Below are 20,154 nucleotides of genomic sequence, written 5' to 3'. Positions count from 1 at the left end.
TAAACCAGACACATGAAGATAAAGTGAATGAAACTTAGAAGAATATGACGAACAGAATGAAATGAAGAGGGTAGTAAAGATGTTTGTGCAGAAGTTTAAAAAAAAAATGGTTGAGGGGGGCTGAACATGGTGGCTCACGCCTGTAATCCCCGCACATTGGGAGGCCAAGGCAGGAGGATTACTTGAGCCCAGGAGCTTGAGACTAGCCTAGGCAATATAGCAAGAGTTATCTACCAAAAATGAAAAAAAAAAAAAAGTAGCTGGGTGTGGTGGCATGTCCCTGTAGTCCCAGCTACTTGGGAGGCTGAGGCAGGAGGATTGCTTGAATGTGGGAGGTCGAGACTGCAGTTGCCCTGATCACATCATTGAACTCCAACCTGCGTGACAGTGAGACCCTGTCTCAAAAATAAATAAATAAATAAATAAAATAAATAAGTAAACAAGCATGAAGGCAGTATCAGTAATGGAATCTGCTATATGAAGGAGAAAGCAAGATTTGGATTCAGTTGACATTTTTGGAATACATAACATATTCATTCAGTGTTATTGTACAAATGTCCGGCTTGAAATAGTTCAGCAGCAAGTCATTTTCCATCTGGAGTCCAGGCAACTGAGGAAATTCATAAGGTTTGAGGCTATATAGTGGATGTCTTAGGTGCTAGGTGCTTACATTAGTATAAATTACAAATGAAACAAGCAAATGAGGTATTGTACATTGGCTATAAAAGGAAGATAGGAATCCCTGAGAAGATGACAAAGGAGTCATTAGAAAGAGGCAAAATATATTTCTTACAGAAAAAAACTTAAGTGCTTTTAAACTTATAATTAATATCTTATTCTTTTTTCTCACAGTGGAAAGCTCATGATGGCATTATTTTAAAAGTAGATTGGAACTCGGTCAATGATCTTATTTTATCTGCTGGTGAAGACTGTAAATATAAGGTATATAATGTTTAGATTTATCACTTGGCTGAAATAATCAAATTTATAAGTACTTAGCATATAAGAATATTCTTTTAGTTTTTTACTTTAGCCATGTCTTTTTACTCCAGTAATTTAGCAAATTATTTTATAATGTTAAGTGGTATTTTAAAGCATGGACTTCATAAAAACTATCTCATTAGCCTGGACAACACAGTGAGGCCCTACCTCTACAAAAAAAAATTAGCCAGTTGTGATGGAGCACATCTGTGGTCCCAGCTACTTGGGAGGCTGAGGTGAGTGGATCACTTGAGCACAGGTGGTTGAGGCTGCAGTGAGCCATAATTGTGCCACTGCATTCCAGCCTGAGCAACAAAGTGAGACCCTCTCTCAGAAAAAGAAAGACTATCTCATTGATCTATAGAGTTTGATATTTAATAAGTAACAATATCAGTATAGCCCCTAATTTTACCGTGACTCAATTTGAGTTCAGTTCAGTATGTTTTTAAAAATTAACCCTGCTGGTTTACTAAATATTGATCAATTTCAGGTCAAAATAATTTGTAGAGAGGAATAAGGTTTAATGTATTAATAACTAGAGTTAGAGGCAATTAAATTGAAATAAATACTTTTAGAGAAAGTAGGTAGAGCCCTTACAGGGAGAAAAAATTTAAGCAAAATGGTAAGCAAGCTAGGTATGGTAGCTCATACCTATAACCCCAGTGCTTTGAGAGGCCAAGGCAGTAGGGTTACTTGAGACCAGGAGTTGGAGAATAGCCTAGGCAATATAACAAGACCCCATCTCTACAAAAATTTAAAAATTAGCCAAGTATGGCAGCATGTACCTGTAGTCCTTGCTTATTTGGAAGGCTAAAGCAGGAAGATCTCTTGAGCCCAGGAGATCAAGACTGCAGTGAGCTATGATCATGCTACTGTACTCCAGCCTGGGCCACAGAGTGAGACCCTGTCTCTAAAATTCAAAAAACAAAACAAAGCTAAGAACTAAACATTTCAAAATGTACTATTATATTTAAAAGGACTTAAAATGGGTAGATTTTATGTTCAGAGATTTAGTAAAATCTGAAAATTATGACAGTGTTATAAAATAGTTTCTTTTTGAGACATTTAGGCTTAAAGGAATACAGCTTTGTTTTCCCCTTGTGTGATAGTAAAGACGTTTAATTGCTAATATATAAGGTGCTGATTTCTAAATTTTTATTTACTACCTTACTGGAAGACAAACTTGTTTTTATGTGGTGTCTGTTATAAAACATTTTTATTTTATTTATTTATTTTTCTTTTAGTTTTTGCAAACTTCTCCCTGATATTATAAAAGATTTTTAAAAATTGCTTTTGTAGGTATGGGATAGTTACGGCCGCCCACTGTACAATTCACAACCTCATGAGCATCCCATTACTTCAGTTGCCTGGGCTCCAGATGGAGAATTATTTGCTGTTGGATCGTTTCATACTTTACGCTTGTGTGATAAAACTGGGGTAAGTTATAGTGGTGAGCAATCACAGATGTGCTGTCATAAATGTGGTAATGCACAACACACATGGTTCTCAGTCTTTAAAAAACATTTTCAATGGATGCATCTGGTTGAATCTTTCTGATTTGTCTTCTTAATATGCTGGTTCAATCAATTCCAGATATATGGGACCAAAATCTGTTTAAGTTTGAAGCATGGGCACGATCTCTACTATTTGTCTTTCTGGAAATATTATTTTGAGCATGATTGTGAAGGATGAAGTAGTTAAAGTATTAAAATTTATGCCCATTCAATATGGAAAATTCAGTTTTAAACTTTTTTTTTCTAACCTTTCACTGACTTGAAGCTTATAAACTTTTATTTTTTTTTTGCTGTCAATATGTTTCATACGAAATCTCGATTGCATATTTTGCGTAAGAAATTAATAGTGCATTGGAAAAATAGTCATTTTAAGACCAGAGGACATGGCTGGATGTGGTGTTTCATGCCTGTAATCCCAGCACTTCCGGAGTCCAAGGAGGGAGGATTGCTTGAGCCCAGGAGTTTGAGACCAGCCCGGGTAACAGAGTGAAACTCTGTCTGTATAAAAAAAATTGAAAAATTTGCCAGGCATGATGGTGCATACCTGTGGTCCCAGCTACTGGGAAGACTGAGGTGGGAGGCTCACTGGAGCCCAGGAGGTGGAGGCTGTAGCAAGCTATAATCATGCCACTGTACTCCAGCCTGGATGAGAATTAGACCCTGTCTCTAAATAAATAAATAAATAACCAAAGGGCATATTTTTCTTTATCAAGAATTCATATTTGAATACATGCAAGAATTTTTCCTCACAAGAGAATATGCCCTCCTTCATACAAATTCTGTTTAGAACCTGGGGAAATAGCCAAGCTCAGCAGCATTTACCCATTGTACTTGAATGAATTGTTCGTTGAAGTACCCCAAAAGCAGCAGCATTATGTGGTAAAAAGAGTTTGAGTGTGGCTGTTTTATACTATTCCTAACTGGGGAAATCATAAAATTGTTCTGTGGCTTATTTGCCTCTAATGCAGAATAAGACAGAATTTTTAGAGCTTTTAATCTATTAAGATTTCTGGTTACTTGTTTTCTATCACATAAAATATGAAGTCCTCTGCCTAGCTTTAAAAGCTGTTTGAAACCTGGTGCCATAAAATCCATTGAGTCTTTTCCCCCACAACTCTCTAAGTGTGTTCAACTCACATTGAACACTGGCTTTTGAACCTTTCCTACCTCTTACTAACATCCCTACTCATTTTCTCATTTCATGGAATACTTTGATTTCTGTCTTAGACCATAGTGAGTCCCATTCATTCTTTTTATTTTATTTTATTTATTTATTTATTTTTGAGACGGAGCCTTGCTCTGTCGCCCAGGCTGGAGTGCAGTGGTGCGGTCTCAGCTCACTGCAGGCTCCGCCTACCAGGTTCACGCCATTCTCCTACCTTAGCCTCCCTAGCAGCTGGGACTACAGGCACTCGTCACCACGCCCGGCTAGTTTTTTTGGTGTGTTTTTAGCGGAGACGGGGTTTCACTGTGTTAGCCAGGATGGTCTCGATCTCCTGACCTAGTGATCCACCCACCTCAGCCTCCCAAAGTGCTGGGATTACAGCTGTGAGCCACCCAGCCCGGCCCAAGTTCCACTCATTCTTAAAGGCCTGTCTCAAGTTTGACTTCCTTTGATCATGCCTTCCATTGACTCTAAAGTTTGTTTGTATATTTTTCTAATTTCTTTTCTGCTAGGTCCCTCCTTTCTCAATTACAACATCAGGATGTTAGATCATCCCATCTAATCACTTAAGGAGCTTTTACCTCTGATTTTCCCTATCAATGATTCTAAATCTATAGAATGTGTAGTCTCATTTTCACAATGTATTACATTCTTACATTGTCAATTTTAGTTTCATGTATATTATTTTTGACTCCCTAGTTTATAAAATCCAATAGTTCAATAATTCTGTATTATCTGTACAACACAGTAGATACTCAACAATTTATTAATAAGCCAATTTAAACATAATTTTATTTTGTCATTTTGATTAAAATATTTTAAAATTTTAAAAACATATTAAAGGTTTACCTCGTTAGGCATCTAGTCGTTTTATTTAGAATGTTAACCTCTATCTTTTATTTAATAGACATTAAATATATACTACTCATCAGACAGTGTTCTAGAAACTGGGGGTATAAATAAGAAAAAGATATAAAGACTTTTACTCAAGTTGTTGACAGTCTAGTGGAGAATTAGACTATAAGACTTACAGTACATTATGACAAGTGCTATACAGGAAGTTTTTTATACAAGCACTGCAAGGGTGTGGAAGAGCCTAACTCAGCCTGTGGGACATTGACTAGAGAGCAGAGCCTTGAAGAATTAGTAGTTCTCCAAGGAGACAAAGTTGGGGAAGAGAGTTACAGGCAAAAGAAACCTCTTGTGAATCAAAGTACAAAAGAGTATGGTGCTTTTTGTGCAATGTCTGTAAAATTTTCATGGCATAATACCAGGAGATAATACAGAAAAGATAGATGGACTAAAGTGTTTGCCATGCAACAGAATCCAGATTTCAGTCTTTTAAAATCTAATTCTGTTCTGTGGAGCCTCCTTTGGGGTTGCTGTGGGGTAGAAAAGAGGTGAGGGAGTTGAGCCCCTGATCTCTCTCACTACCTGCAACCAGAGCAGTTCCGGTTATACTGTTTGAGCGTCTAATATAAGATTTTCTTTGAACAGCTGAAAAACAGTGAGGTTGGCAATTGAGTATATTAGTCAGTAGAGAGCCATGGATGGTGTGTAGTAACATGGTAGTATTCAAATGTTGGAAATACTGCTTTGAGGTGAAAGGAACAGTGATTCGAGAGAAGGAATAGAATAAACAAAGGTGAGGTATCATAGTTTATTAGAAAAATTAAGAATTTAGTATGGCCACAATAGTTTGGAGTTTATCTTATGGGCAATGGTGAGTCACTGATCAATTTTAGATAGTTACCTTATTAGATTTGGCATTTTTGGGGAAGCATACTCTAAGATCATCATAGAGGACAGATTAGAGTAGAGGTACACTAGAGGCAGGATGGCTAATTAGGAGCTGTTGTAGTACAAGAAAATGATGACGTTGGCCTGAATAATAGGGAAGTAGCAGTGGAGATGGAAAGAAATAGACAGGTTCAGGAGATAAATCCTTGCTGTATAAGTAGAAAGAGACAAGAATAATTACCTGAGTTTCCATTCCTTATTGTCTGGGTGTTTGCCTGAGGATAATGCCCTTTCATGATGTGATGCCCTGTTCAATCATTACGATAGTAAACCAAGTTACCTAAATTTCAGCATTCATAAGCATCACCTGGGTATTGCAAAAATACACATTCTTGGGCACTATTTGCAATATGGAGAATCAAAATCTCAGAGAATGAGGCTCTGTGAAGTGGTATTTTTAGGAAGTTTCCTAGTTGTCTTTATGCAGGCTGTCCTCAGAGGGCACTTGAAGGAAGACTTAGTGAGATGCTTGATATTCCTTTTAAGTCCTGAAATGGGCAATGCTTAGTCTACTGTAGAAAAAATACCTTGAATTTGGAGATGAAATAGCAAACTATAACGCAGGTGATACCAAAAAAGAATAGTATAATAGAAAAAATTACATTTCTTAAAAATCTCAGGTAATTTATTCTTCTGACTTGTTCTAAGCATCTTCTTCATTTAAAATTACTGTTGGGGGCCGGGCGTGGTGGCTCACGCCTGTAATCCCAGCACTTTGGGAGGCCGAGGCAGGCAGATCACGAGGTCAGGAGATCGATACCATCCTGGCTAACATGGTGAAACCCCGTCTCTACTAAAAATACAAAAACAAAATTAGCCGGGCGTGGTGGCGGGTGCTGAGGCAGGAGAATGGCGTGAACCCGGGAGGCAGAGCTTGCAGTGAGCCAAGATCGCACCACTGCACTCCAGCCTGGGTGACAGAGAGAGACTCTGTCTCAAAAAAAAAAAAAAAATTACTATTGTGTTATGTCTGCCACTTTGCTGCAGCAAAAATGTTGATAGTATATGAATCATATGTGTGATGGTATTATCTCTTAATGTTCTAGACTGATTCTTTCAGAATAGCTAGTTGTAAATACTATTCAAACACTTAACTTTCATTCATTGAATTATCAATAGTTTTTTTGCTCATTTTCTGCCTTGTGTATTTTCACAAAAGGATTTGGAATTCATTTATGCAATCATTTCTTTTTGCAAGGTTTGTATTAACCCTGTAATATATCCTTTTATACAGTTATCATTTAGATTTTTATGTTACTTAATATTTAGATTTTTATGAGTTACTTAATGTGTTATTTATGTGTGTATGTATGCATATGTATGTATTCATGTATGTCTATATATACTATATATATAATATATACAAATATATATATTATATATACATATAATATATGTGTGTATATATATATACATATAATATATGTGTATATATATATTTGTTCAAATCTTTCTGGAGGATATTTTGATACTATATATCAAAAGCCCAAGAAATAAACATATACTTTAACCCAGCAATTCCAGTTTTAGGATTTATCCTAAGGTAATAATAAGATAAAGAAGGCTTAGTGGAACATTCTTTATAATTTAACAAATGAAAAGCAATCTAAATCTCTAACAGTAAGATATTATTTAACTTAATTATGGAATATAATTCTTATAATTAATTATTATATTGTTATTAAAAATGATAATTACTTTTATAATACCATGAAAATGTTTTAAAATATATGACCACAAGAAAAAAGTAGTTACAAACTTTATGCATAGGGTGATCTTATTAGTATATATCTGTATAAATGAACAGAAAAATAGTCTGACGTGATATAACAAATTTTAACAATGGTTATGTCTGGAGTTTGGTGATTTAGTCATAAGTGGTGATAGGTGATTTTTCTTCTTTTTTGCATATCTACATTTTCAAAATGTACATTTAAAAAATGTACATTTTCAAATAAAATGTACAGGTTTTGAAAAGGGAAAAAATAGCTTTATCCTTTATTTTATTTAGCTTTCCCTAGATTCTCTAATCATGTAATTCAGCCTTCTTTCTCTTTTTAAGAAATGTTGTCTTTTGAAGCTATCAAGTTATTTTAGAAATATGTATTAGTTAAAATATGGGAAACTATTTTTCAGGTAACATACGTTTTTTTTTTTGAAACGGAGCCTCGCTCTGTCGCCAGGCTGGAGTGCAGTGGCACAATCTCGGCTCACTGCAATTTCCACCTCCTGGATTCAAGCGATTCTCCTGCTCCAGCCTCACAAGTAACTGGGACTACACGCGCACATCACCACGCCCAGCTAATTTTTGTATTTTTAGTAGAGGTGGGGCTTCCCCATGTTGGCCAGGATGGTCTCAATCTCTTGACCTCGTGATCCACCTGCCTCGGCCTCCCGAAGTGCTGAGATTACAGGCATGAGCCACCGTGTCCTGCCTGGTGGCATACATCTTTATTGGGGAATAATTCTACTCACTAAGATATAAATGCTATGAGCATTTTGAGTTAAAAAAAAGTATGTAAATACTTTCTGCATATCCTTTTTTTTTTTTTTTTGAGACAGAGTCTTGCTCTGTCACCCAGGCTGGAGTGCAGTGGCAATATCTCAGCTCACTGCAATCTCTGCCTCCCGGGTTCAAGTGATTCTTGTGCCTCAGCCTCCCAAGTAGCTGAGACTACAGGCGTCCACCACCACTCCCAGCTAATTTTTTGTATTTTTAGTAGATACGGGGTTTCACCATATTGCCCAGGCTGGTCTTGAACTCCTGAGCTCAAGTGATCTGTTCGTCTTGGCCTCCCAAAGTGCTAGGATTACAGGCATGAGCCACCATGCCCGGCCTCTGCATATCTTTTTTAAGAATCCCAAGCAGAAATTGCCTTTATAGAGTTTACTTTCTTGTTGATAAGACATATATTAAAACATTAATTATACACTCAGTTATTTAATTATAGTTGTAATAAATTTTAAAAACAGGAACAGGCTGCTGTTAGTAATGAGAACTAATGTCTGGAGGGTCAAAGCAGGTTAGTGTGATGAAAGATAAGAAGGGCATCGCTTATTGAGACTCTTCACCTTTTCTTCTTACCAAGTAAGTAGATATGGTAACTGCTGGTGTCAGCTTAGAGTAAGTTGACCCAACTTACTCTTAATGGTGTCAATTTAGACCTGAAAATTTAAGTCAGCTTATGTCAGCTGCTTTTCTCACACAATGTTTTCTCTTTCGAAAAAAAACTTGCCAAGGCTTCTTTTAAAAAGTACATGTTTTCTTGAATCTGGAAATGTTACCCTTAAATGTAGCCCCTTGTTTCTTTTTGTTTCTCTCATAATCTGTAACTTAAAGTGGTATTTATCCAGGGCCAGATTTTGTGAAAGAATTTCAATATCAGATATATAAGAATCTAATCTCCAGGAATGATCTATACCCTAGCATTTTCCACAAATTTATAAAATTTCTATTTAGTGTTTGAGAGCTCTTCACAAATTTTTAGTTGAGGTGCAGTGTTCCTTTTTTTTTTTCTTTTTGAGAGGGAGTCTAGCTCTGTTACCCAGGCTGGAGTGCAGTGGAGCGATCTCGGCTCACTGCAACCTCTGCCTCCTGGGTTCAAGAGATTCTCCTGCCTCAGCCTCCCGAGTAGCTGGGATTACAGGCACCTGCCACAGTACCCAGCGAATTTTTGCATTTTTTATTAGAGACGGGGTTTTTCCATGTTGGCCAGACTGGTCTCGAACTCCTGACCTCAGGTGATCCACTCGCTTCGGCCTCCCAAAGTGCTGGGATTATAGGGTGAGCCATGGTGCCCAGCCCTGTTCTCTTCTTTCAACCATTGACTCAAGTTTCTGGCTGCTTTTTTAAAGAAACAAATTTATCAGGATACAATTTGTATATGACACATTTTACCCATTTAAAATGTACCCAATTAAAAAAAGTGTTTTTTACTATATTCATAGGGTTGTGCAACCGTTACAAAACTCTAATTTTAGAACATTTTCCTCTCCTCTAAAAGGAATTGTGTACCCATTAACTGTCAATCCCTATTTTTCCCTACTCTATTCCTAGTCCCTGGCAACCACTAATCTACTTTTTTTCCTATAGATTTGTCAAGTTTGGACATTTCATATAAATGAAATAACACATTATGTGGCCTTTTGTGACTGACTTCTTTCAGTTAGCATGTTTTCAAGATTAATCCATGTATCCAGTACTTTATTCTTTTTTATAGACAAATAATATTTCATCACATGTTTATAACACATTTTGTTTATTAATCAGTTAATGGACACTTAGTGGTATCAAAATTTGGTTATTAGAAATCATGCTGCTATGAATGTGTGAACACATGTTTTTATTTTTGTGTGGACATATTTTAATTTTTCTGGAGTGTATACTTAGAAGTAGAATTGCTACGACAAGTGTAACCCTATGTTTAACTCTTTGAGGACCTGCCAAATTGTTTTCCAAAGTGGCTGTCTGCCTACTTTTGATTGCTGTCCAGTGTTCAAATACTTGTTTTTGTATTTTGTCTGGAGTACATAGGTGTTATCTGTGAGAAGGCAGATCTAATAGCAGCTGTTCTGCTATTGTTATTCCTTACATATCAAAAGTTTATTTTAAATAATTGAACATGAGTTTGTAAAAATCAGCTTTGCACATTTCAGAGCTATGCTAAACTACTGCAGTGGTTCTCAAGGCAGAGTAGAGTGGGAAAGCTACCGTTTGAATTTCATTGTTCAAGAAATTATCTAGAAAAATAGCCAAAAAGCATGAATAGTTCATAGACAAATGTAAATGGCCAATAAAAACATGAAAGGATGTTCAATTTAACTAATAAATAAATATAAAATAAAGAAGTAAATAAATAAAATGATATATTTTACCCAATAAGTTGAAAAGATTAATAATGACCTAAAACCCTCAGTTTCACTTGAGCAGGAGGAAATGAGCTGCTTTGTTTATATGGTATTAGTGGAAATATAGAGTGATTTGACTTTTTGAAGGGTATTTTGATAATACATATCCAAATGTCAGATGCACATATCCCTTGACTCAGGAATCTCTCTTCTAGGAATTTTCTTTAAAGAGATCATTGTGTAAGTACACAAAGATATATGCATATCAGTTTTCATCACAGTATTAATAGTGAAAAGTAAAAATAAATGTCCATGAGCAGGAGACTGATTGGTTATTATTCTGTATACCTAAAGTGCAATACCCTCAACTCTTTAAAAATGGAGAAGAAGGATCATGTTTAATCACCTGGAAAGATACTTATGATGTTATTTAGTAAAAAGACTGGGTTATAGGACAGCATGTTACTCTATGATCTCACGTAAGTAAAATTGTGTACCCATGTCTTTGAATGTATGGCTAAAGGTATACCCATTGTTGTTGGATAGTATATTTGGGTCATCTTTTCCTTCCTCTTTAGATGATTTTGTGTAGTGTGAGCCTTTCTCTCTGACTCTGTATCAGTTATACAGATGCAATAAAGCTTTTAAAACTTTCTTCAGTAAAAATGAGCAGAAGAGGTATGGTGTCACAGAAAATGGTGGAATAGGCAGCCCTAGAAATTGGTTCCTCCACTGAAGCAGCCGTTAAGCTGGCAAAAAATGTCAGAATCAATTTTTTCTGAGCTTTGAGATCTAATGAAAAAAACCACTAGCAACCAGAGGAGTGCTTAATTAAAAAAAAATACTGCTAAATTTTGGTAAGAAAGCATTGTGGCATTTTTGCTTACCTGCCTACTATCCCCCACTCCCAGCCTGGCGGTAGCTAAAATGATGGCAACCTGGGTTCTGGTGTGGCTTGCTGGTGTGTGTGTATTGGGTGGTGCAGTGGGGGTGGGGCAGGGTACACAATATGGACAGTGTCCTCAAAAAGTTGTGGTTCTCACAAATTGCACTTTTTGACCTCTCATAGTTCCCTGAATGACTGGCATAAAGTTTTGTCTTTGTTTTGACGCCTTAGAAATCTCTCAGAGTGGCATCAACGAATAAGGGCTTTGGAGGGTCCTCACATATACTGAGGGATCTGGAATGTAACATACATGCCCAGGGCCAGACACACTCAGAAAAGACCAGAGGATGTGAGGCTTGTATCACTGGAATATCTTTCATTTATGAACAAACAAGGAGTGAAAGCTAAAGTAGAGTTGTAGGTGGTCTGGCCGTGTATTAAAGGAGTGCCTAGGTCAGAGCCAATTGGCAAAGAGTGGGAGAGTATTTTTTTTCTTTCTTTTTGGCTCTGTCTGGCTGACCACTGAGATAACGGAATGGAGACTTCAGTGACCACACACAAAAAGCAGTCTGCAAAAATAGTTTGGAAAAGTCAGTAAATAGACAGTTAACTGAGCCCTCAACAAGCAACAATGCAAGCCTTGTTGGAGAGAGATTCTGATTTCCAGAGTTACCACATTATGATATTAAAAACATCCAATTTTCAACAAAAAATTACAAGGCATATGAGAAACAGGAAATTACGGCCCATTCACAGGGAAAGAAATTAATAGAAACCATCCCTGAGAATGCCCAGCATTGGACTTATTACACAAAGACTTTATTTTTTTCAAAGTTTTATTGTTAATTGACAAATAATAATTGTATATACTTATGAGGTACAGGTAATGTGATGTTTTGATATATGTATACATCGTGGAAGGATTATATCAAACTAACATATCTATCACCTTACATAACATTTTTTGTAGTGATAACGTTGAAAATCTTCTATTTTAACAATTTTGAAATTTACAATACTTTGTTATTATTATTAACCATGCTATGCAATAGATTTTGAAAACTTTCTGTCCTGTCTAACTGAAACTTTATACCCTTTGATCAGCATTTCCCCATTCCCCACTACGCACCACCTGGTAACCACTGTTCTACTCTCTACTTTTATAGATTTGATTTTTTTATTTATTTAACTTTAATTTTTGTAGATACACAGTAGGTGCAGATATTTATGGCGTATATGAGATGTTTTGATGCAGGCATGCAATGTATAATAATCATATCACAGAAAATGGGGTATCCATTCCCTCAAGCATTTATCCTTTGTGTTACAAACCATCCAATTATACTCCTTTAGTGATTTTAAAATATGCAATTAAATTATTGACTATAGTCACTCTGTTGTACTATCAAATAATAGTAGATCTTAGTCATTCTTTCTGATTTTTAAATACCTATTAACTATTCCCACCTCCTCTCCTCCCCCAACCCATGACCCTTCCCAGCCTCTGATAACCATCCTTCTCTTTTTTTTTTTTTTTTTTTTTGAGACAGAGTCTTGCTCTCTCGCCAAGGCTGGAGTGCAATGGAGCAATCTCAGCCCACTGCAACCTCTGCCTCCTGGGTTCAAGCAATTCTTCTGCCTCAGCCTCCCGAGTAGCTGAGATTACAGTTGCCTGCCACCATACCTGGCTACTAAGTTTTGTGTTTTTTTTAGTAGAGACTGGATTTCACCCATGTTGGTCAGGCTGGTCTCGAACTCTTGACCTTAAGCGATCCACCCACCTTGGCCTCCCAAAGTGCTGGGATTACAGGCATCATCCTTCTACTCTCTATCTCCATGAGTTCAATTGTTTTGATTTTTAAATCCCACAAATAAGTGAGAACATGCAATATTTGTCTTTCTGTACCTGGCTTATTTCACTTAACATAGTGATCTCTATGTCCATACATGTTATTGCAAATAACAGGATCTCATTAATTTTTATGGCTGAATAGTACTCCATTGTGTATATGTACCACATTTTCTTTATCTATTCGTCTGTTGATGGACACTTAGGTTGCTTCCACATCTTGCCCGTTGTGAACAGAGCTGCAACAAACATGGAGATAGCTCTTGGATATACTGATTCTTTTCTTTTAGGTGTATACCTAGCAGTGGGATTGCTTGGTCATATGGTAGCTTTATTTTTAGTTTTTTGAGGAACCTCTAAACTCTTCTCCAGAGTGGTTGTACAAATTTACATTCTCACCAGCGGTATATGAGTGTTCCCTTCCCTCCACATCCTCACCAGCATTTGTTATTGCCTGTCTTTTAGATACAAGCCATTTTAACTGTAGTGAGATATGTCATTGTAGTGTTGATTTGCATTTCTCTGATGCTCAATGATATTGAGCACCTTTTCATATACCTGTTTCCCATTTGTATGACTTCTTTTAAGAAATGTCTATTCAGATCTTTTGCCCAATTTTTGATCATATTATCAGATTTTTTTCCCATGGGGTTGTTGGGTCTCCTTATATATTCTGGTTACTAATCCTTTGTCAGATGGGTAGTTTGCAGATATCTTTTCCAATTCTGTGAGTTGTCTGTTCACTTTGTTGATTGTCTCCTCTGCTGTACAGAAGCTTTTTAACTTGATGTGATCCCATTTGTCCGTTTTTGCTTTGGTTGCCTGTACTTGTGGAGTATTACTCAAGAAATTTTTGCCCAGACCAGCGCTGGAGATTTTTCCCAATGCTTTCTTTTAGTAGTTTCATAGTTTGGGTCTTCGATTTAAGACTTTAATCCATTTTGACTTGATTTTTGTATATGGTGAGAGATAGGGGTCTAGTTTCATTCTTCTGTATATAGATATCCTGTCTTCCCAGCACCATTTGTTGAAGAGACTGGACAAAGACTAAATCAGTGATCTTAAATATGCTCAAAGAGCCAAAGGAAAACAGATCACAGTCTGAACAAATAGAAAATACCAGTAAAAGGATAGAAATTATACAAAAGGAATGTAATAGAAATTCTGGAATTGGAAAAAAGCAAAGGATAAAAGAAGGGTACATACCCCCAGAAATGCAAAATATGTTGTCTCTTTAGCAATGAGTTTTATGCACATAAAAATTACAATGTTATGCCATTCCCATTCATCAGAAATGGGAAAATGGGGCTCCTTGTAGAACATTGATGGGAACATTAACTGGTACAGCCTTTCTCAAGGATAGTTTGGTAAAATCTGTCAAGAGCTTTGAAACTTTTGACATAGCTATTACTTCAAGGAAGTATAAAAATGCATTGCATATTAATTTGTTCATTTATTTTCATATTTATCAATTCTTTTACAAATATTTATTGAGAGTCTGTTAGATGCCAGGTACTTGCCCTAGTTGTTAAAGAAAATCAATAAATAAAATAAATTCTGTTTTGTTGACAGTTTTTATTCCATCAGATGAAAGACTATAAACAAGCAAAAGTAACATATTTTAAATGGTAATGAGTGCTATAAAAATTAAGCTGGGCGAAGGAGATGGCATTTTTTAAATGAGATGATCAGGAAATATAAAAACAAATATAGAAACTAATTGTACATTACTGGATGGTAAGTAAAATAAATAAGGTACAAATGAATTACCTTTGGGATAAAAATTAAAAGTCATAGTACTATAATGTTTTCTATATTACATAATAAATTTTATTTTTACCTTTGATTTTTAAGAAATGCTTGATTCCAATTGTAAGGGCACCAATGTTCAAATTAACATAGTTATTATAAATAAATTGTACAATATATTAATGAATTATACTATATTAAACAATAGCATCCAAGGGGAAAGATCTAAATATACAAAGTACTTGGCCTTATTTTTAATTAACTGACATTGTTGCTTTTATCTATCAGCAGGTGGTGCTATTGCTTGTGTAAGAGATAACTTTTTTGTGATTCTCATTTTCTCTGTCTTTGAATATTCGTTTAAGCATTATAATAAAAAGGCATCTCCCTGTTCATCTTTTCAATTAAAATAATTGCAGTGACTTACCATCTGCAGTAAATGGTCCTAAACATCAGTTAATGTGCCCTAAATGAATGTAAGAAACTTTGCATCTATTTTTTTTCCACTTAAACTTACTTTGTGAATGTACAATTTTATGAATTGAATTTATTGAAATTGGCCAAAGTTTATGCTTTTTTTCCCCCCAAGAACACAAATCCACTTTTATTTACTTTTCATTAGCTTAAATCCTTGAAGGGTACAGCATCACACAGATTCTGTGTCCAGTGGCCTTAGCAGGAAGATTGCTTTGGATTTTGGCACAAACCACGATACTGTTTCCATGGGCCCAAATTATCTTTCCATGGATTACTCTAGTTTATTTGGTTTGCCACCAGGAGTCACTATGTTGTTCTTTGTTTTATATACATAAGCATATCTCTTGCCCAAATAGAAGTCAGTTTCATCTCAAGCATAAACGCCTTCAACTTTAAGAAGAGCTGCATACTCCCTTTGGTTCTGGAGACCCCACTTAGAGCAAGCAAACATGGTCTTGTACCACAGCCTTCCAGCATATTTCCCTTTTAGACATCCTGTTCCCAGCAGGCCTCCACAGGCTCCAAGATGGCAGAAAGAGCCAAAGATTATCCTTTTGAGGATCCTTTCAATGTAATATATTTATACAGGAATAGTAAAGAGAAGGGTGAGGTTGGCATTGAAGAGATACTTTTAAAAGTCCTTATAGTCAAGTCATGTTTTTTAGTTTAAATATTTATTTCCCTGTTGGGAAATAACCTGCATGCCTAAGCAATTTGACAGAATACAGAAGGAAAAAAATAGTCTCTTCCCTCAAAGGAATGTATCACTTTTTGATATATCAACACTTTATAAAACATTCTGAATTGTTATTCTCTATATTGTGCTGTTTAGTATGATTGCTTATTTCGTTTTAATGTAAGAGTAGCATTAGCATGTTTGTAAAGCCTGGAGTCAAGACTCCAGCGGTGAGTTTACAAAGTCAAAGGCCTCTTCTGGGTCTTTACATTTCTCATCTACAAAATAAATTGTCTAAGCTAAATGATTAACTCTCTCTTTTCAACTCCACGATTCTATGATACCTTTTCCATGGGCATCGGACATCCTGCTTGCTTCCTCTTATAAGTATTAGTGTGTTGATTGTTTCTTTGTTTTTAAATATAAAGTTATTACATAGGAAGAGGCAACACTGCAGTGGTATGCCAGAAGTGAGAAAAACACAAGCAGTGCTGGAGAAGTGTGGCTGATCTTATGACTTCAAACTTACTCTATGTTTTCTTTTAGTTGATGCAAGTAGAAGAAACCATTAAGTAAAAAGGAGAATTGGTTATAAGGATACAGGGATACCTTCCAGAAGCCAGGGAAAGGATATAGCCAGATCTCAGGAAACAGGAACTGGAGTGCTAGGAGAACACAGAAAGTACCTGTTCTCTTTGTCTCTTTTGTCTCTGCTTCTGTCTGTATATCCAGGTCCTTTTTTTCTTTTCCAGTGGATTGACCTTTTTTACCCACCTCAGTTTATGTGCTGGAAAGTGACCAGTGTTAACAACTCTAAAGTGTACATTTTTTTTTATTTGAGAGAGCAGTAAGGCTGAGACAAGAATCTTAGTCCCAATTTTAAACGCTCCCTCAGGGAAGGGATCACTGGCTCAGCTTAGGTTTGGTACACATGCCTGGTCTAATGAGTTGTGTCTAGGCAGGTTGGGGTAGGTGCACCTATTTTGGTAATTTTTTTCTTTTTAAAAGCAACTTCTTCAATAACTTAAAATGTTTTCTTTTGGATATCTTTAATAATCCAGTACCACATGCCAAGTTCCTACCACCACTTGGTGACAACATGGTCACATGGTCAAATTATTATTTAGGTTTTTTTTTTTTTTAATCATTGTTAATAAGTCCTTGAAAGCCAAAACCACAAATCGCAAACTACGTTTAAAAAGTGGTAAGACTTTGGGAGGCCAAGGCAGGCAGATTTCTTGAGTCCAAGAGTTCAAGACCAGCCTGGGCAACATGGTGAGACCCCCATCTCTACAAAAAGTACCAGAAAAGAATCAGCCAAGTGTGGTGGCAAGCACCTGTAGTTGTAGCTACTCAAGAGGCTGAAGTGGCAGGATTGCCTGGGCTCAGGCTGCAGTAAGCCATGATTGTGCCACTGCACTCCAGCATGGGTGACAGAGTGAAAACTTGTCTCAAAAACAAAAAAAAAAGGTAGTAAAAATATCATTTTATGTGTTTATGCTCATATCTAAATATGAATCTTTAGAAAAAAGGAATATGCTTTTATAATCCCCAAATTAACTGCTATATTCTTCCTAATGCAATTTCATGACTGGCTGAATAATGGGCCTCCAAAGATACCCATATGCTAATCCCCAGAACCTGTGAATGTGTTACCTAATATGGCAAAAGGAACTTTGCAGATGCGATTAAGGGTAGGGACCTTCAGATGCTAAAACTATCCTGGATTATCCAGTCATCCAATATAATCACATGAGTTCTTAAAAGCAGAGAACTTTTCCTAGCTGGGGGTTAGTGGATGAAGAAGGACAGATTCAAAGTAAGAGCAGCTGCACCTGCTGTTGCTGGCTTTAAAGGTGAAGGAAGTGGACCACAAGCCGAGGAATGCAGGTGGCCTCTAGAAACTATGAATGGCCAGCAAGGAAATGGGGACCTCAGTCATACAGCTGCAAGAAACAATTCTGCCTACAATCTGAATGATCAAGGAAATGGTCCTTCTCCCGGAGCTTCCAGAAAGGAATGCAGCCTTGTTAGCACCTTGATTTTAGCTCAGTGAAACTCATATTGTGTTTATGACTTAGAGAACTGCAAGATAATCAAATTATGTTTTTCTAAGGCTCTAAATTTGTGGTAATTTGTTACAGCACTAATAGAACACTGCAGATATACCTGCAAAGATACAAACTATATCTTTGTAACTGCCTTTTAGGGCCAGTGTTAGCAATGAGTCATGTAGGTAGATAACTTGGGGAGGATTTCACCTTCTTCTTACTGATAAAAAAAATTATCTCACTAGCTTTATTCCTTTGATTTAAGAAATTATTTCTTAAAATATAATAGTATCATGGGAGTAACACATTAAACTTGTTTTTATCAGGTCCTTTTCTAAGTAACTTGGCTAGCTGAGAGCAGACTTTAGAGCATGTGAAAAGAGGCATAGAATATTTTTGCCCAGGAGATGGCCCTTTATGGAGAGATTTTGGCTAGTTGTAGAACACCCTCAAGGTACTCGATATTTGGGGATATGCCAGTGATATTTGCCCACAGCTAAAAACCAAATTGGTCAGTCTCACACTTTTTCAAGACTGCCCTCCCTTCAGACAAAAATACGTTGCTAAATCTTTCAAAAGCTAACAGCAATTGATTGTTATGTTCATGTTCAGTGATATAGTGCTACTTAACAAGCACCTCAAAATAACATTAGTGTTTTAGTTGGCTATCATATTGTTAATACAGAACACTTTTGTGTCCTGTAAACTTCTTTTATAATTACTTTTTCCATTTTCTTCTATGTTTTGCTTACCCACTTTTTGTTTTTAGAAATTATTTGTATCAAACGAAGCCAAAAATAATCTTTGTTTACTTTTTCATATTCTGTAGCCTAAGAAAACTGTGTTAGCTGCAATTTGCTGTATAGAATTAGAGAAAAATAGAAAACCTTACCACATTTTGGAGACAAAAATTGTGGTAAGTGGTTTAATTAGATATACAGGATAAACTTATATTTTGGAGAAATTTGTGGCAAAAAATTAGTATAACAAAAATAATGAAAACAGAAAGCTAGAAAAAATAATACCCATAATCATAACAAAATATTTTAATTTTTCTGTCTACCTTCCAAGTTTTTGTCTTTGGACATTTTTTACATTTTGGTATTGATATACTTATTTTAGCTCAATATTATGTTGTAGTCTCAAAATACTCTTAAACAATGAAAGCAAGGGCTGACTATAATTTCTATAAAAATAGCTTGAGGGGGAAAGATAATGGCAGAGGCAGCATGTTGTTGTTTTTAATAGAGATATTACTTACATACAGTATCTTATGTGTACAGCTCAATTTTTTACATATGTAAATATCCAAGAAACCACCACCCATATTAATAAAGAACATTATCAATATTCCAGAAACATAGCATCCTGAAGATGCTAGGTAAGCTGGAGTTCCAAGACACTGTTTTGAGTTACCTTTCATTGAGATTTCTTCTGCGTGATGTACACTGCACATAATAGTAAACTTGCTTGTTTTTCTCTTTTTAATCTATCTTTTGTTACAGTGGTTTATCCCAGCAATAAACTTAACAAGGGTTGAGGAGAAATTATATTTCTTCTCCAATATTGTTCTAGGGAGCAGAATGTAGGGGAAAAAAGAGAAAGAAAGAAAGAAGCAGCATTTAGAAAGGAGAGCAAGAGCCAGAAGAGATTGGTATTATACAGTCTGAGAGATTTTTCAAAGATCAGTGGTCAGTAAGGTCCAGATCCCAGGGCCATGTTCTTCTCCATGTCACCATGCCCTTCTCCAGATACACACATGGGTTCTCACTCATCTCCTTCAGGTCCCTTTTTTTTTTTTTTGAGACAGGGTCTCACTTTGTTGCCCAGGCTGGAGTGCAGTGGTGCAGTGATGGCTCACTGTAGCCTCAGCCTCTCAGGCTCAAGCAATCCTCCCACCTCAGCCTCCTGAGTAGCTGGGAATACAGGCACATACCACCAAGCCCAGCTAATTTTTAATTTTTTATAGTGACAGGGTATCACTATGTTGCCCAGGCTGGTCTTGAACTCCTAGATGCAAGTGATCCTTCTCCCTTGTGGATTACAGCCTAGGATCCTCCTCCCTTGTGGATGCCTGTGCTAGGATTACAGGCGTGAGCCACTGCACCCAGCCTGGGGGCAAATTTTTCTGTGCAGTTGGTGCCAGGCCAATGGGGGA

At 36.4% G+C, this 20,154-nt stretch overlaps 1 protein-coding gene, 1 long non-coding RNA gene and 1 pseudogene across 6 annotated transcripts in view; 2 read left to right on the top strand and 1 right to left on the bottom strand.

The window, feature by feature from the left end:
* The window catches only part of TRIM59-IFT80 (TRIM59-IFT80 readthrough (NMD candidate)), a 258,294-nt gene that overhangs the window by 127,317 nt on the left and 110,823 nt on the right, over nt 1–20,154 (top strand). For all 3 annotated transcript variants that reach the window (NR_148401.1, NR_148403.1, NR_148402.1), the window contains 2 exons: nt 853–942; nt 2,281–2,418. This is a non-coding gene — a long non-coding RNA (TRIM59-IFT80 readthrough (NMD candidate)). The remainder of the gene's footprint in view (nt 1–852; nt 943–2,280; nt 2,419–20,154) is intronic.
* IFT80 (intraflagellar transport 80) overlaps nt 1–20,154 on the top strand; it is a 142,240-nt gene that overhangs the window by 40,795 nt on the left and 81,291 nt on the right. For all 3 annotated transcript variants that reach the window (NM_020800.3, NM_001190241.2, NM_001190242.2), the window contains 2 exons: nt 853–942; nt 2,281–2,418. In NM_020800.3, the coding sequence (NP_065851.1) occupies nt 853–942; nt 2,281–2,418 (228 nt within the window). The remainder of the gene's footprint in view (nt 1–852; nt 943–2,280; nt 2,419–20,154) is intronic.
* Nucleotides 15,416–15,744, bottom strand: RPL35AP10 (ribosomal protein L35a pseudogene 10; annotated as a pseudogene).

The sequence above is a fragment of the Homo sapiens genome, chromosome 3 (genome assembly GCF_000001405.40).
Source record: "Homo sapiens chromosome 3, GRCh38.p14 Primary Assembly".
In the NCBI taxonomy this organism is placed as follows: Eukaryota; Metazoa; Chordata; class Mammalia; order Primates; family Hominidae; genus Homo; species Homo sapiens.
The sequence above is the reverse complement of the archived record's forward strand: the minus strand, read 5'-3'. Positions and strand labels throughout refer to the sequence as shown.